The 16176-nt window shown below is 49.0% G+C and overlaps 1 protein-coding gene across 9 annotated transcripts in view, besides 2 other annotated features; it reads left to right on the top strand.

The window, feature by feature from the left end:
* Positions 1 to 16171, top strand: part of CASP9 (caspase 9) — a 33512-nt gene extending 17341 nt beyond the window's left edge. For 5 of the 9 annotated variants that reach the window (NR_102733.2, XM_005246014.3, XM_047432034.1 and 2 more), the window contains 6 exons: positions 497 to 673; positions 1493 to 1582; positions 2814 to 2961; positions 12120 to 12299; positions 13571 to 13680; positions 14537 to 16171. Coding sequence is in view for 6 of the 9 variants with exons in the window: in XM_005246014.3 (XP_005246071.1) it covers positions 497 to 673; positions 1493 to 1582; positions 2814 to 2961; positions 12120 to 12299; positions 13571 to 13680; positions 14537 to 14629 (798 nt within the window). In the remaining 3 variants the exon portion in view is untranslated. Of the gene's footprint in view, positions 1 to 438; positions 674 to 1492; positions 1583 to 2813; positions 2962 to 12119; positions 12300 to 13570 lie in introns of all 9 variants that reach the window. The other 4 variants (NR_102732.2, XM_011542273.4, XR_007064158.1 and 1 more) reach the window with 4 other exon arrangements.
* Positions 1677 to 2177: an enhancer, noted in NCBI's record as "H3K4me1 hESC enhancer chr1:15831890-15832390 (GRCh37/hg19 assembly coordinates)". NCBI's record gives its function as "activates a minimal SCP1, AML or CMV promoter by ChIP-STARR-seq in primed H9 embryonic stem cells {active_cell/tissue: H9 hESC(primed)}" and the evidence as "EXISTENCE:reporter gene assay evidence [ECO:0000049][PMID:30033119]".
* Positions 6765 to 7265: an enhancer, noted in NCBI's record as "H3K4me1 hESC enhancer chr1:15826802-15827302 (GRCh37/hg19 assembly coordinates)". NCBI's record gives its function as "activates a minimal SCP1, AML or CMV promoter by ChIP-STARR-seq in naive H9 embryonic stem cells {active_cell/tissue: H9 hESC(naive)}" and the evidence as "EXISTENCE:reporter gene assay evidence [ECO:0000049][PMID:30033119]".

Genomic DNA, 16176 nt, shown 5'->3' with positions numbered 1-16176 from the left:
CATGCTCTGTGCTGGGGCCACCTGGGAAGGAGCCATCAGTCAGTTAGGCGAGAGAGAAGTTAGACAAATGAGTATATAAATAGAAATAGTGATAAGTACCATCAACAAAAGAACAGGCTGCCTTGAGAGAATTACAAGGGGACTGAGCCTGGGGAGAGGGCAGCCTTGGGTGCCTCCAGGTGGCCTGGGCATGGTTCTGCTGACAGAGTTCTCAGGTACACCCCGGCCTAGGTGACCCGTGAGGTCCTTTGGGATGAATGCTCATGGCTGTTGGATTTCCAGGTTACCAGCTCCCTTCCCTTAATACCAAGATGGGGGGGTCACCTTCTAGTGCTAGTCTTCCCTGCAGTTGCTTCTCTTTTGCCCTGGAATGCCGGGTGGAGACCCTGCTACTCCTTGTGCGAGAGGGCAGACCCCGTTTTCTTCCCGCCTCTCCAGACTGTCCTCTAGGGAGCGTGGGGAGAGCCCGGGTTTACGTGGGTCCCTGTGCTGGCAGGCTTACATCCTGAGCATGGAGCCCTGTGGCCACTGCCTCATTATCAACAATGTGAACTTCTGCCGTGAGTCCGGGCTCCGCACCCGCACTGGCTCCAACATCGACTGTGAGAAGTTGCGGCGTCGCTTCTCCTCGCTGCATTTCATGGTGGAGGTGAAGGGCGACCTGACTGCCAAGGTACACTCACTATCTGTGGAGGGAGACAGGGTGGGGGGCAGTGGGTGGGGAAGTATCTTTTGAGGGACTCCAAAAGCCAGCTGACTCCCCAGGCGAGCCCTTACATCTGGAGGACCATGGGAGGTAGGACGGCCCAGCGGCTACAGGTTCAAGTTCAGACGCAGAAGTCCGGGTTTGAGGACTGGCTCTCTCGGCCACCTGCTGTGTGACCTCCTGTGCCTCAGTTTCCTTGTCTGGAAAGCAGGAATAGTACCTGCCTCCTTGGGTTGTTTTGGGGGTTAGATGAACAGTGCCCAAGCGTAGCACCTTCTCCCCAAAAATGGTGGCTATTACGACTGCTGGGACTGTCAGCACTTCGGTACTGGCCCTGGGAAACCGAGAAAGTGCTCTGCCCAGGCGTTTGGGTTGGGCCCTTTGTTGTTTTATTTTTTGGGGGGGGCGGGGGCACAGAGTCCCACTCTGTCATCCAGGCTGGAGTACAGTGGCGCGATCTCGGCTCACTGCAACCTCCACCTCCCAGGTTCAAGCAATTCTCCTGCCTCAGCCTCCTGAGTAGCTGGGATTACAGGTGTGTGCCACCATGCCTGGCTAAATTTTTTTTTTTGTATTTTTAGTAGAGACGGGGTTTCACCATGTTGGCCAGGCTGGTCTCGAACTCGTGACCTCAAATGATCCACCTGCCTTGGCCTCCCAAAGTGCTGGGATTACAGGCGTGAACCACCATGCCTGGCCAGGCTGGGCCCTTTTATTGTTAGGAACGGTCCAGTCTGCATCTAGACCTATCCGTGCTTCTGGCTCACCTGCAGCCCTCTCTTGTAGAAAATGGTGCTGGCTTTGCTGGAGCTGGCGCAGCAGGACCACGGTGCTCTGGACTGCTGCGTGGTGGTCATTCTCTCTCACGGCTGTCAGGTAGGAAGCCTCCCACTGTTCCCTGGGCAGGCATTGGGTACTGGCCGTGCCAAGAGGCTGTGCAGGGGCCATGTCCCTTCTTGTGTCCAAAACACCCTTGGCTTTGTGGAAAAGGGCTGTGGGGCCCTGCCCACCTCCTGTTGTTTTCTTGGGAGCCATGTGGTCCTCTGAGGAGTTGGCTGCACCGTCCTGGGCAGGTCGGTGTTCCTGGGAGAAGCCCTCTGGGAGAGGGAGGGCAGAGACCAGGTCTGCTCACGAAGCTCCTGCACCCAGAGTTTGTTCAGAGGCGGGTACAGCACACATGTTGTCTCAGCTCCTGTCTCTGTCCTGTGAGGCACTGCCCCAGGCCCCTTGCTGCTGGTGGGACTCAGGACACCAGGCCCACTGGGGGCTTGGCCCCTTACGTATTTGTCACTGTGATTAAGCCCTTACCCCTTACTGGGCCTCAGTTTCCTCATCTTTTAAGTTGAGGAGTTGGACAGATCACAGTTATAAGCTGGGGCCTGGAGTCCCCCTGTGGTCTGCACGGTGTTTTGAAAACTGGCAAATTTCACATAAAAATCAGGATTTCTAGTTTCTCTTGACAAACCGCAAAGGTCTGGCCTGACGAGGCCAGCATCTTCAGCCAGTAAAACTCCAGCCTGTGGCTGGGCAGGGCTTTCCCTTTGGTCCTTTCTCTCATAATATGGTCCCTAGAGCTCATGAAGAATGTGGACTCCCAGGCCCTACCCTGGACCTCTTCATTCCAAGTCCGCCCAGCAACAAGGTTTCCAGGTGATTTCCATGCCCTTGAGGTCTGAGCTGAACTGATTTAAAGCAGCCACTCTCAGCGTTGAGCTGCCTCAGTCAGAGGGGCCTGGAGGACCATACTGCTGATTAGGAGGTCTGGGTGGGGCCCAGGAATCACATTTCTTACAAGTTCCCAAGCGATATTGATGCCGCTGCTGCAGGGGCCAAACTTTGAGAACCACTGGTCTAGAGGCCGCAGCCAGCACTCTCCAGGCACACTGGCCCCTAGAGGCACATGAGTTTGACATGCAACCCCTTGCTGTCAAGGTGTCTTTCCAGATGCTGACCAGGGTCTTTCCAGAACCAACCTGCTCTGTCTCAATCAGCCTCGTGCCCCTGGCTTTGACCTTCCAAATCCTTGGCTCCCACAAAACCTCTGAACAGGCTGTTGGATTCCTACTCCAACTTCTTGGTTTTGTAACCAGGGTTCTTGGTCTTCTAGGCCAGCCACCTGCAGTTCCCAGGGGCTGTCTACGGCACAGATGGATGCCCTGTGTCGGTCGAGAAGATTGTGAACATCTTCAATGGGACCAGCTGCCCCAGCCTGGGAGGGAAGCCCAAGCTCTTTTTCATCCAGGCCTGTGGTGGGGGTAAGCAGCTCCTCAGCCTCCCTCTGGGTGGGTCTGGTGGGGAGGGAGCCGCCACCTGCTTCTTTCTCCAGCCTGCCCCTCACAGGGCCCATGAGGTCTCTCCAGGCAGTCAGAGGGTACCACACATGGTCCCTTTTTGGCAGCACCTCTGTCTGGCTGGAGCAGGCCCTGCTCTGTCTGCTTTGTAGAGGTCAGAGTCTTCTGTTTCATGGCACAGTGGCATCATGGGCTCAAGTAACTTTGGCAGCTTCAATTCCAAAGACTTGGCAAAAAGAAAGCAGAAGAGAGAGGAGAAACCTCTTTTTATTTTTCTTGTCACCATTCTCCTGACCTCCATCAACTAGACCCCGTTTCCACTATCCCAGAGAAAGGGTGGCCACAGCTAAACTGCATGGAGAAACCAAAGAATTTAAATATTGGAATTTTCAAAAGTGTAGTTGTGGGGGTTCGAGGAACATTTAAAGATTACTTGGGCTGGGTGCAGTGTCTCATGCCCAACACTTTGGGAGGCCGAGGCAGGAGGATTGCTTGAGCCAGGAGTTCGAGACCAGCCTGGGCAACACAGCGAGACCCTGTCTCTATTTTTGTTTTGTTTTTTAAATGTATTACTTGGATTCTTTGTAGTTTTGCTGTATGCTCTAATTTTAAACTTAACTCCTATTACAGTGTTATCTGATTTTCTTATAAAAAAAGAGGGAAGAGAGACAAACATGGGGTTCCTAGTTTGTGGGTCATGACAGGAATATCAGGGAGCGCTAGAAATTCTGTCCCAGGGAGTCCCCTCTGCCCTAGGCTCTCCACGGACTGGAACATTCAGAAGGTATATCAGTTCCTTGCCTCCAGCCTGATCTGCCAGAGAAGTGAGCACTGTTATACCATAGCGCTGTCCAGCTCGTCCAGCTGTGACATGGGCACCTGTGGTCTATTTCTCCTGTGCACATCCAACTGCCCCATCCCTATTCCACGTTGGTGGAGTTGGGTGGAGGCTACCTAGGAGAGCAGTCTCTGGTCACATCATTCATCCAGTAAGTGTTTATTGAGCACCATCTGTATATACCAGGCTGTGCGTTAGGTGCTGGGGATAGGGGAAAAACAGAGTTTCAGTCTCCTGGAATTTATAATTTGACATGAACTGTATTAAGTCACTGTCATGACCCATGCCCATAACTTGACCACAAGTGATTGAGAACACTTGATTAACCCTGGATGGGCTACTGACCTATCTATCACACAGCCCTGGGCCAGTTCATCTCTAGACAGCTCAGCAAATGGGGAAAATAACAGAACCCACTCCCAAGCTCAGGTGATCCTCCCACCTCAGCCTCCTGAGTAGCTGGGGCTACAGGTGCACACTACCATGCCCAGCTAATTTTTCTATTTTTTTTTTGTAGAGACAGGGTTTTGCCATGTTGCCCAGGCTGGTCTTGAACTCCTGGGTTCAAGCAATCTGCTCACTTCGGCCTCCCAAAGTGCTGGGATTACAGGCGTGAGCCACTGTGCCCAGGCAACTTTAATAATATTTAATGCACTAATTGGTGTGTGTACAGTGATTGGTTCATTTTAATAACTGAAAACCCAGCCTGCCCCCCGCTCCCACCCCGGAGGACCCAGTGTCACATAAGAGTCCCCCACCCCGCTGTCGCCAGCAGAGTTCCCTCAGGACAACAGTAACAGGAAGTGAGGAAGGCTGCCACTCTCGGGGCTGTAGAAACCCTGCTCTGCCTCACCTCCTGTCTTATCCACAGTGTGTGGTCCAGCAATGCTCTTCCTTCGGAGCCTCCGGTCCCTCTTTCTCCTATGAATCAAATGAAAGACAGAAAGGGCAGGGGAATTAGGAATGCAGGCTGAGCAGGCATACCTACTTTCTGGACAGTTAGTCAGTCTTGTGCTCCTCCCATGCCCCATCCAGTCTCAGTCTCAACAGCAGGGAGGGCCTTTGTCACGTGAATATCTGCTGTCACTCTTAGGACTCAGTAGCAGGGCTTCCAAGGCCTTTGGTGACCTGGCCCCTGCCACTTCACCTTCCCCAGCCTGGCATGCTCCGAGTCCCCAGCACGGCCCAGCCTTCCCAGGATGTCCAGGCTCTTGCTTGCTCTTCTACCTGCTCCCCTGGCTAACTCTTTTTTTAAAATTCATTTTTACTTATTTTGTTTTAGAGATGGGGGTCTCACTATATTGCCCAGGCTAGTCTTGAACTGTTGGGTTCAAGTGATACTCCCACCTCCGCCTCCCAAAGTGCTGGGATAACAGGCATGAGCCACCGTGCCTGGCACCTGGCTGACTCTTAATCATCCATCCTTCTGGTTACAATTTATTGTCACTTCCCTAAACACCCCCTTTCTTGGCCAAAGTCAGGGTTAGCTGGCCTTTGTGCTCCTGCAGCCTCTGTCCCTCCCCTACCATAGCACTGTCTCATTGTATTGAGATGGGCTTATCCCCTGGTCAGCTCTGAGGGGAGGGCCAGGCCTACCCTGCAGCCAGGCCCCCAGCCTGGCACAGAGCCCACAGTCTGGTTGCGTCTCATGTGGATTCTAATTTGAATGTAAAGGAGAACCATACAAAAGCATCTGTGGTGGTTCACGCCTGTAATCCCAACAGTTTGGGAGGCCAAGGTGGGAGGATCTCTTGAGACGAGGAGTTTGAGACCAGTCTCTATCATAAAATTTAAAACATTAGCCAGGCCTGGTGGTGTGTGCCTATGGTCCCAGCTACTTGGGATGTTTAGGCAGGAAGATCGCTTGAGCCCTGGAGGTCGAGGCTACAGTGAGCCATGTTTACACTATTGCACTCCGGCCTGAGTGACAGAGCCAGTCTGTCACCTGTCTCTAAAAAAATAAAAAATAAAAAAAAAATATGAGCCAAATTTGGCATAATGTAGATTTCCATCATTAAAACAAAACTCACAGAAAACAGCAAGATTTCAAAGCCAGCATGCAGTGATTAAGATATCCCTTTGGAGTCGGGTCCTTGCTTTGCCTCCGCAGGCTGCGTGACCTGGTGCTTAACGCAGTTACCACATGGTGGCGCCACGTCAGCTGAGAGCAGAAATAGAAAGGTCCCCGTTCTTCACTAGTGCCTGGCGAGGGGTCTGTTTACATGCATCAGAACACCTGTCCTGGGTTTTGAGGACTCTTGTATTGCTATTTTATAACTCACTATAATACTTTAAAAATATTTAATTTAAAAATCATTTAATAATTAATTTAAATATAATAATAAATAATTTAAAAATCATTTTTAAATAATAATTTTAAAACCCTCCAACATGTCATCCACCCATTCATTAGGAGGTAACAGCACCAGGGCTGAAAAATGTGCATTAAAGTCGATAACTTTGGTGTGCAACGTCAGCGTGATAGGCAACCAAGTAGCCACCTCTCTGAGGCTGAGCCGTCAATTTTGGGGTGACCCCTCTTTGGGATTTGAGAGATCGGGCTGAGAAGACAGAAAGCAATGACAATATGCTGCAGTGGTCGTGGATTTTCTGTGCGGAGGGAACATCTCCTCCTACTGTATATTTATTCTTGTGGGGAATGAGTCCTGCCCTACGGGGAGTTTTGCATTAATGAGGCTCTCTAAGAACCGAGGCTCTCCAAGAACCAAGCCATGCATACAGTGCAGAACACCCTAGGCAAGGCCTTCACATCAGATTTGTGGGCTGAGGCTGACACGTGAACGGAGCTGCCTTAGCGCCCCGCCTGACCCCCTCTTTCCTTTCCCCCACACCCCCTGCTCTGATCTGCTGTCTCTTCTCAGCCTCTCTGCTCACCCTGTCTCTTCTGGCCATTCTTAACGGCATCCCCCACTTAGGCATCCCTCCGCCCCCACAGGCTGCCAGGCAGACCCAGCACCATCACATTCACGCCTCAGGCCTCCTTGCTGTGCTGTTTCACGTCATTCCCAGACACCTGGGGCAGATTCCGGAGTCTCTACCAAGAAAACAACCAGAAGCAATGAACCACAAAATCTGGAGAAAAACATGGCTGTCACAGATCAAAGAGGCCCCCCTTTGGAGGCTGGGGGCCTCCGTGAGAAGCAGTGGGATAGTTGAGAGGCAAAAAACATGGGGCAGAATTCCGCGCCCCTCATATCAGCTGGGAGAATGCCAATGACCAGTGGTTTCTGAGCTTTAGCTGTGTGGGGTAAGAGGTCAATAGATTTTGGTGTTACTATTATGGGGTTGCCAGAGCCACCTCTGTTCCTGCCAGATGGGCCCCCAGCTCCTCTGGGTGAACTGTGACTTCCCTCAGTCACATAGATCCAGCCATGCAAACCTGCCTGCGTTGCGGCCACAGCACTTGCTGTCTCTCTCACCAGGACCGTTCTCCCTGATGGCATCAGGGCCTGGATCACAGTCACATTCTCCAGGAGTGTTTTTGCAGGGGACCCTCTGGATCACTCCTACTCCAACTTCAGCCTATTTTTAAAAAAATTTCTCTTTTTTTTTCTGCAGTATGTATACATAGTTAAATATATATTTATATTTTTTAACCAAAGCTCTTGTTAGATGCCTTCTTTCCTGAGTAGCCCTCTGTGCTCCGCCTTACCCCACCCACCATGAGCCCTACTGCAGAAGACCTCATCCCGGAAGACCTCCGTCAGTGTCTCCACTTCAGTAGCTCTGTAGCTGAGCCATGTGGGGCACAAGTCCTGCCAGGACCTCTCTGTTTTCCAAGCTTGGCACTGCCTTTGGGGAGTCTAGATTTTAAAATGGAAAAGACAAAAAATATGGCAACCTAAAAAAGAAAATAATTCAGAATGTTATAAGCTAATACAGCCATCTCATTTTTGCATCTTCCTTTTGGATTCCAGCCCATGAGCACAGTCTGCTTTTCTCAGCTAACGTTATCCCTTAAGCAGTTCCCCAGATCTCCATGGCCTTCATCATCACTAGCTCAAATGGCTTTATAATGGGCCATTTTCATGACATGCACTAATTTACTAAACCATTTTCCTAATGTCGGCCATTTAGGTGATATCTAATTTTTGGCTCACACAACCACAGGTGTCTTCATATAGAAAGCTTTTGACTGCATTTGAATTATTTTCTTAGGAAATTACTGGATTAGAAGGTGTAAACATCTCCATGGATTTCATTATCCATGACTTGGTGTCTATTTGGTATTTTTCTGATGGCTTCTTTGATTCTAGAAAAGGATTTGCCATAGTGCAAGAAGTACAAATGATAACACTAGGACAAAATAGAGAGGGAACACAAGGAGAGAAGAAAAGTAAAAGTTTGGATTCCAAAAATACATCCTAGGATGTCCTGCAGCTTTCTACAGTTCTCTAATGTACAAGTGAATTAAAAATTTAAGGTATACAACGACTGATTTTAGAGATAAAATCACTTTGCAGATGTAAAGAAACATGGAAAAATCCCAGCCATTGGTAATAGTAGACTCAAAAATGAGGTAGGTCAAAGTCCCAGTCAGCCTCTGTCTGGGGGGAAACCCCTTAACTTATCTCAGTCTCAGTTGCCTAATTACATAAAATGGAATACTGATAGCTACTTGCTAGAGGTGGCCTGCGCATTTTTTACGCTTTCCAGCCGCCATTGGAAATAAGATCATTGGCCAGGGGCGGTGGCTCACGCCTGTCATCCCAGCACTTTGGGAGGCTGAGGCGGGCAGATCACGAGGTCAGGAGATCAAGACCATCCTGGCTAACACAGTGAAGCCCCATCTCTACAAATAATTAGCCAGGTGTGGTGGCACACGCCTGTAGTCCCAGCTACTTGGGAGGCTGAGACAGGAGAATCGCTTGAACCCAGGAGGCGAAGCTTGCAGTGAGCCATCGCGCCACTGCATTCCAGCCTGGATGACAGAGCGAGACTCTGTCTCAAAAAAAAAAAAAAAAAAAAAAAAAGATCACTTTCAAGATCCATGGAATCTGGTGTTCTATAGTTCTATATCTGGTATTTGCAAGACAGAAGTCAGGAATAGAGACTCCAGACACATTTCTTCCCTTGGTTGTCTTAAAGGGGACACTGTGATCTTGACAGCCTGAGTAAAGGGTTTGAGTGAGTGCCTATGATATAGTGGACAGTTTCCTCAACTATATTTCTAAAAAAAGACAAGTTTTATGTCTTTTTAAAAATTGTGGCAAAATACATATAACATAAAATTTACTATCTTAACCATTTTTTTGGGGTGATTGCTTGAGCTCAGGAGTTTGAGGCTGGAGCGAGTTAAGATCATGCCACTTCAATCTGGGCAACAGAGCAAAAGTGTGTCTCTTAAAAAAAAAAATGCCTGTAATCCCAGCACTTTGGGAGGCCAAGGCAGGCAGATTGCTTGAGCCCAGGAGTTTGAGACCAGCCCGGGCAACATGGCAAGATCCTGTCTCTACAAAAAATACAAAAATTAACTGGGTGTGGTGGCACCTGTAGTCCCAGCTACTTGAGAGGCTGAGGTGGGGGATCACTTGAGCCTGGCAGGTCAAGGCTGCAGTGAGCTGTGATTGCACCACTGCACTCCAGCCTGGGTGACAGAATGAGACTCTCTCAAAAAACAAAAACAAAAACAAAAAACAATCCCCCAAAACAAAACAAAAAACCACTGCCCTCTCCCCACTGAATGGTCCTGCCACCCTTTTCAAAATTCATTTGACCACGCATGTGAGGGTGTATGTCTGGGCTCTATTCAATGACATTGACCTATGTCTGTCTTTATGCCAGTACCATACTGTTTTGATTACTGTAGCTTTGTAGTAAGTTTTGAAATCAGGAAGTGTGAGTCCTCCAATTTTGCTCTTTTTCCAGATTGTTTTGTCTATTTGGGGTCCCTTGAGATTCTCGTGTGAATTTTAGGATAGATTTTCTATTTCTGCAAAAAACATCATTGGGGTTTTGATAGGGATTACATTTAATCTATGGATTGCTTTGGGTAGTATTGAGATCTTTAAGTTTTCTAATCCATGAACATAGGATATATTTCCATTTATTTATATCTTTTTTTTTTTTTTCTTGAGACAGAGTCTCGCTCTGTTGTCAGACTGGAGGACTGTGGCGCCATCTCGGCTCACTGCAACCTCTGACTCCCTGGTTCAAGCAATTCTCCTGCTTCAGCCTCCTGAGTAGCTGGGATTACAGGCACACGCCACCACGCCCAGCTAATTTTTATATTTTTAGTAGAGACGGGGTTTCACCATGTTGGCTAGGATGGTCTCAATCTCCTGACCTAGTGATCCACCAGCCTCGGTCTCCCAAAGTGCTGGGATTACAGGCGTGAGCCACTGTGCCTGGCCTATGTCTTCTTTATTTTTCTTTCTTTCTTTCTTTCTTTTTTTTTTTTTTTTTTAGATGGAGTCCTGCTCTGTTGCCCAGGCTGGAGTGCAATGGCACGATCTTGACTCACTGCAACCTCCGCCTCCTGGATTCAAGTGATTTTCCTGCCTCAGCCTCCCAAGTAGCTGGGATTACAGGTGCCCACCACCACGCCTGGGTAATTTTTGTATTTTTTAATAGAGACGGGGTTTTACCATGTTGGCCAGGCTTGTTTCAAACTCCTGACCTCAGGTGATCTGCCTGCCTTGGCCTCCCAAAGTGCTGGGATTACAGGTGTGAGCCACTGTGCCCGGCTCTTTTTCTTTTTTGAGACTGGGTCTTGCTTTGTCACCCAGGCTGAAGTGCAGTGGCGCGATCACTGCACACTGCAGCCTCAACTGCTTGGACTCAAGTGGTTCTCCCACCTCAGCCTCACGAGTAGCTGGGACCACAGGCACATGCCACCACACCTGGCTAAATTTTTTATTATGTGTAGAGATGAGGTTTTGCTGGTCTGGAACTCCTGGGCTCAAGGGATCCTCCTGCCTCAGCCTCCCAAAGTGTTGAGATTACAGGCGTGAGCCATGGCATCCAGCCTTCTTTCTTTCAGCAATGTTTTGTAGTTTTCATTTTACAAGTCTTTCATCTTGGTTAAGTTAATTTCTAACTATTTTATTATTTTTGATGCTATTGTCAATGGAACCATTTTTGTAATTTCTTTTTCTGATTGTTCATTGTTAGTGTATAGAAATGGAAGTATTTTTTGTGGTTGGCTTCGTATCCTGCTAATATGCTAATTTTATTTGTTCTAATAGTGTTTCATCTTTAGGGTTTTCTGCATATAAAATCATACCATTTGTGAGTAGAGATAATTTTACTCCTTCTTTCCAATTTGAATGTCTTTTATTTCTTTTTCTTGCCTCCTTGCTCTATTAACTTCTAGTAATGTGTTGAATAGAAGTGGCAAAAGCAGAAATTCTTGCCTTCTTCCTGATCTTATAGAAAAAGGTTTCAGTCTTTCACCATTGAGTATAATGTTTGCTGTGGGTTTTTCATATATGGCTTTTACTATGTTGAGGTAGTTTCCTTCTATTCTGAGTTTGTTGACTGTTTTTATCATGAAAGCTTGTTGAATTTTGTCATGTGCTTTTTTCTGCATCAATTGAGATGATGATGTAGGGTTTTTTTCATTCTCTTATGAACCCCAAAAATCTGAGACAGGTCTCAGTCAATTTAAGAAGTTTCTTTTGCCAAAGTTAAGGATGCACGCCCAGGAGACAGGTCTATGCCTTTCTCTGAACATGAATTTTAGGGTTCCAAATTTAAAGGGGAAAGGGCAGGATATTGAGAAGTACACAGTTTTCAGGTAAGAGCAGGGTAGGGGGAAATAGTCATTCAAGCATTTGTCTGGCTCAGTGAATTTGCATTTTTACGTAAGGTAACATAGGGCAGGGGAAAATGCAGGGAACCTGCATTTTTACGTAAGATAACAAAGACAAATGGGGCAGGGGAATAATCAGATATGCATTTGTGCCAGGTGGGCAGAGGGGTGATGCCTCTGTAAAGATAAGCTATCCATTTACATTGCCGTGGTGAATTTTATCAGACAACTATCTTGGAGCTCACCAGGAATTTCCTTGTGGGCAAAATATGGGAGAGGTGTGTAGCTTTTCATCTTGTAGCCATCTTATTTAGGAACCAAAACGGGGAGGCAGGTTTGCGTGACCCAGTTCCCAGCTTGACTTTTCCGTTTGGCTTAATGAGTTTGGGGTCCCAAGATTTATTTTCCTTTCACACTGTTAATGTAGTATATTGCACCGACTTTCATATGTTGAACCATCCTTGTCTGTGTATTTCAATGACAAGAGGTGTTTGTTTCTGCTTCCTGCAGAGCAGAAAGACCATGGGTTTGAGGTGGCCTCCACTTCCCCTGAAGACGAGTCCCCTGGCAGTAACCCCGAGCCAGATGCCACCCCGTTCCAGGAAGGTTTGAGGACCTTCGACCAGCTGGACGCCATATCTAGTTTGCCCACACCCAGTGACATCTTTGTGTCCTACTCTACTTTCCCAGGTGAGCACATCAGAAGGGCTCGTCCTCGCAGCCAGTGGGTCTTCCCGTCTGCCCTAGAGGCAGCTGTGTGGTGAGAGAAAAGACCAGGGTATGAGTCCTGGTTCTGTCTTTTGCCCCTCTGTGACCCTGAGCAAGTTACTTCTCTCTGAGCCTCGGCTCAGGCTGAGCGGGCAAGGATGCGCGCTGCAAGGAGGCCTGCGCCCTTGGGTTCCTATGCCTCACTTGCCTCTCCTCTGCCTGACCCTGCCTCTGCCTTCGCATCTTTAGCAGGGGAATAGGAATCGTGCCTCAGGGGTTTCCATGGGAATTAAACAAGGTGGCTGGCACGTCACTGAGCACAGTGCGGGGCACGTAGTAGTTGCAGCAAGCGGTAGTTTCCTTCCTTCTTTTTTTTTTTTTTTTTTTTTTTTGAGATGGAATCTCGCTCTGTTGCCCAGGCTGGAGTGCAGTGGCGCGATCTTGGGTCACTGCAAGCTCTGCATCCCGGGTTCACACCATTCTCCTGCCTCAGCCTCCCAAGTAGCTGGGACTACAAGCACCTGCCACCACGCCTGGCTAATTTTTTGTATTTTTAGTAGAGATGGGGTTTCACCGTGTTAGCCACGATGGTCTCGATCTCCTGACCTCGTGATCCACCTGCCTCGGCTTCCCAAAGTGCTGGGATTACAGGCGTGAGCCACCGCGCCCAGCCTTTTTTTTTTTTTTTTTGAGACGGAGTCTTGCTTTGTCGCCCAGGCTGGAGTTCAGTAGCATGATCTCAGCTCACTGCAACCTCCACCTCCCGGGTTGAAGTAATTCTCCTGCCTTAGCCTCCTAAGTAGCTGGGATTACAGGCATGCATCACCACACCCAGCTAATTTTTGTATTTTTAGTAGACACAGGGTTTCACCATGTTGGCCAGGCTGGTCAAGAATTCCTGACCTCAAGTGATTTGCCCACCTCGGCCTTCCAAAATGCTGGGATTACAGGTGTGAGCCACTGTGCCTGGCAGTTTCCTTCCTTTCTTATGTCTTGGATGAGTCACTTGACTTTTCCAAGCCTTGGTTTCCTTGCTGGGAAAACAGGAATTATAGCCGGAATCAGGGGATGGTCATGAGGGTGAAATAAGATCATGATTAGGGCAGAGCCTCAGGGGCCAGGCTGCTCCTGTTGGATGTATGTATGAGTCAAGGTCTGGAGGGCGCCCGAGCCAGCGTGCATGGCCAGAGGGGTGGTGGGGAGCCGGCGGAGGGGTGGCTCTCCAGCAGTGTTCAGCCCTCCTCCCTCCAAAGGTTTTGTTTCCTGGAGGGACCCCAAGAGTGGCTCCTGGTACGTTGAGACCCTGGACGACATCTTTGAGCAGTGGGCTCACTCTGAAGACCTGCAGTCCCTCCTGCTTAGGGTGAGTGCTGCCTTCCTCTGCAAAGGAGAGGGGAGGCTGCTGAGGGGCAGCGTGTCCTCCTGGGGCTGGGGATTTGGGGTGAGCAGGGCAGGCCCAAACCAAGGGTAAAAGGTAGTAGACTCCTGCCTCTGAGCCTTGGAGTCGGCACTTTTGTGTCTCTTTATGAGAGGCATCCTGCCTGTGGTGACGTTTGCCCTTTATTCAAAGAGTTGCCTTCCCTGTCTCCTCCAAGGTCCCCAGGTTGACACCTCCCGCTCCTCCACTGATGGAGCTGGTCCTCAGTGCCAGCGCAGGATGGCTCTGTCCAGACCCTGAAGGCGGGTCATGGGCCCCTCCCTATATCCTGTGGGCATCATGTAGTCTTCTACTCTTGACCCTCAAGAATTGTGAACCCCTCCTTGTACATCGCCTTCTCAGGAGGCCCCAGTGAGGAAACAGATAGGGAAGGGTGGCCTGATAGGCCCAGTCCTACTCCATAGAAACCCGACTCAGAGCAGTTGCTTCCTCTGAGGGTCCTGTGGCCTTGTGGCTGCCTTGGGAGGCAGCATGTATGGGCCCCAGCTGCTCTGCTCAGGTATTCATGCCACGAGAAGGGGCTGCGAGGCTGGGGCCACTCCTGGCTCCTTGCAAATATTTCAGTCTGATTTGAACTTTATGAATTTGGAAATTTTGAATTTTGAGTTTTTTAAAGGTAAAGTTGAGGTGCGTATTCTTTAAGCCCTCCTGCTCAAAGAGGCTGCAGTTTGAGCTGTTTTTAAGGTGCGGGTTGAGTGGACATTCCCCCCAGCCCCTCTTGAATTCTTCCTTCAGTCCAGAGAACTGAACTCACAGAGCTCTCCATGGTCATGTCTTACAGGTCGCTAATGCTGTTTCGGTGAAAGGGATTTATAAACAGATGCCTGGTTGCTTTAATTTCCTCCGGAAAAAACTTTTCTTTAAAACATCATAAGGCCAGGGCCCCTCACCCTGCCTTATCTTGCACCCCAAAGCTTTCCTGCCCCAGGCCTGAAAGAGGCTGAGGCCTGGACTTTCCTGCAACTCAAGGACTTTGCAGCCGGCACAGGGTCTGCTCTTTCTCTGCCAGTGACAGACAGGCTCTTAGCAGCTTCCAGATTGACGACAAGTGCTGAACAGTGGAGGAAGAGGGACAGATGAATGCCGTGGATTGCACGTGGCCTCTTGAGCAGTGGCTGGTCCAGGGCTAGTGACTTGTGTCCCATGATCCCTGTGTTGTCTCTAGAGCAGGGATTAACCTCTGCACTACTGACATGTGGGGCCAGGTCACCCTTTGCTGTGAGGCTGTCCTGTACATTGTGGGATGTTCAGCACTGTCCCTTGCCTCAATGCCAGTAACGCGTCTTCCTGAGTGGTGCCAAACAAAAAGGTTCTCAGGTGTTGCCAAATATGTCCTGGGGTATAAAACTTTCCTCGCCTGACAACCACTGGTCTGTAGGGATTTTTGGCTACACACAAACCAGTATCGCTCATAGATCAGCAAACCGGGGCCTACTAGAGTCTGAACAGCTGTAATCTATGAATTCTAAGTGAAATTTTAAAAATTGTTAATTTTTCCTATATTGCATTAATTTTAAAAAATAAATCTGAGGCAAATATGGACTCTCTTTTGCCTATTTCTTCCCTCATTTTGCTCCAACTCTTTCTTCTTCCTTACAAAAGAGACTTTTGCTTTTTTCGAAACATTTCCCCATGTTTTTCTGGGGTCTCGCTATGTTGCCCAGGCTGGTCTCAAACTCCTGGGCTCAAGTGACCCTCCCAAGTAGCTCTTACTACAGGCGTGCACCATTGCACCCAGCCCCATTTATTCATGTCTTATTTCACTTGATCCTTATCCCATCCCAGGAAGGCAACAAGGGTGAGAACCCTGTGCTCAGGGAGGTTAGGTCTCTTGTCCAAGGGAAAACGATTATCCAGAGAAGAGACCTGGCCAGAACCTGGGTCCCCTGAGTCCTAGCCATGCTTCCCATGTGCCTTACTTGCTGAAGCACCCCCGGACTGCAGTGTGAACGTGCTGTGCAATAGTGACACGCTGGGCTTCCCCACAAGGCTCCACCCTGAGGTCTTTTAAGCTGTCCTTATGCCAGCCTATTTCTTGTTTTTTGGGCCTTTTTTTTTGGAGATAGGGTCTCACTCTGTCGCCCAGGCTGGAGTGCAATGACGCAATCTTGGCTTATTGCAGTCTCGACCTCCTGGGCTCAAGAGATCCTTCCACCTCAGCCACCTGAGTAGCTTGGACTACAGGTGTGCACCACCTCTCCCAGTTAATTTTTGTATTTTTAGTAGAGACAGAGTTATGCCATGTTACTCAGGCTGGTCTTGAACTCCTGGACTCAAGCGATCAGCCTGCCTTAGCCTCCCAAAGTGCAGGGGTTACAGGCTTGAGCCATTGCGCCTGACCTATTTCTGGTTCTTAGGGCCCTGGATGTTAGGATGGATTTCTGAATTAATAATAATAATAAAACCCTCATCAAGATGTGA

The sequence above is a fragment of the Homo sapiens genome, chromosome 1, assembly GCF_000001405.40.
Source record: "Homo sapiens chromosome 1, GRCh38.p14 Primary Assembly".
Taxonomy (NCBI): domain Eukaryota; kingdom Metazoa; phylum Chordata; class Mammalia; order Primates; family Hominidae; genus Homo; species Homo sapiens.
This window is presented reverse-complemented; position numbering and strand designations above follow the sequence as displayed.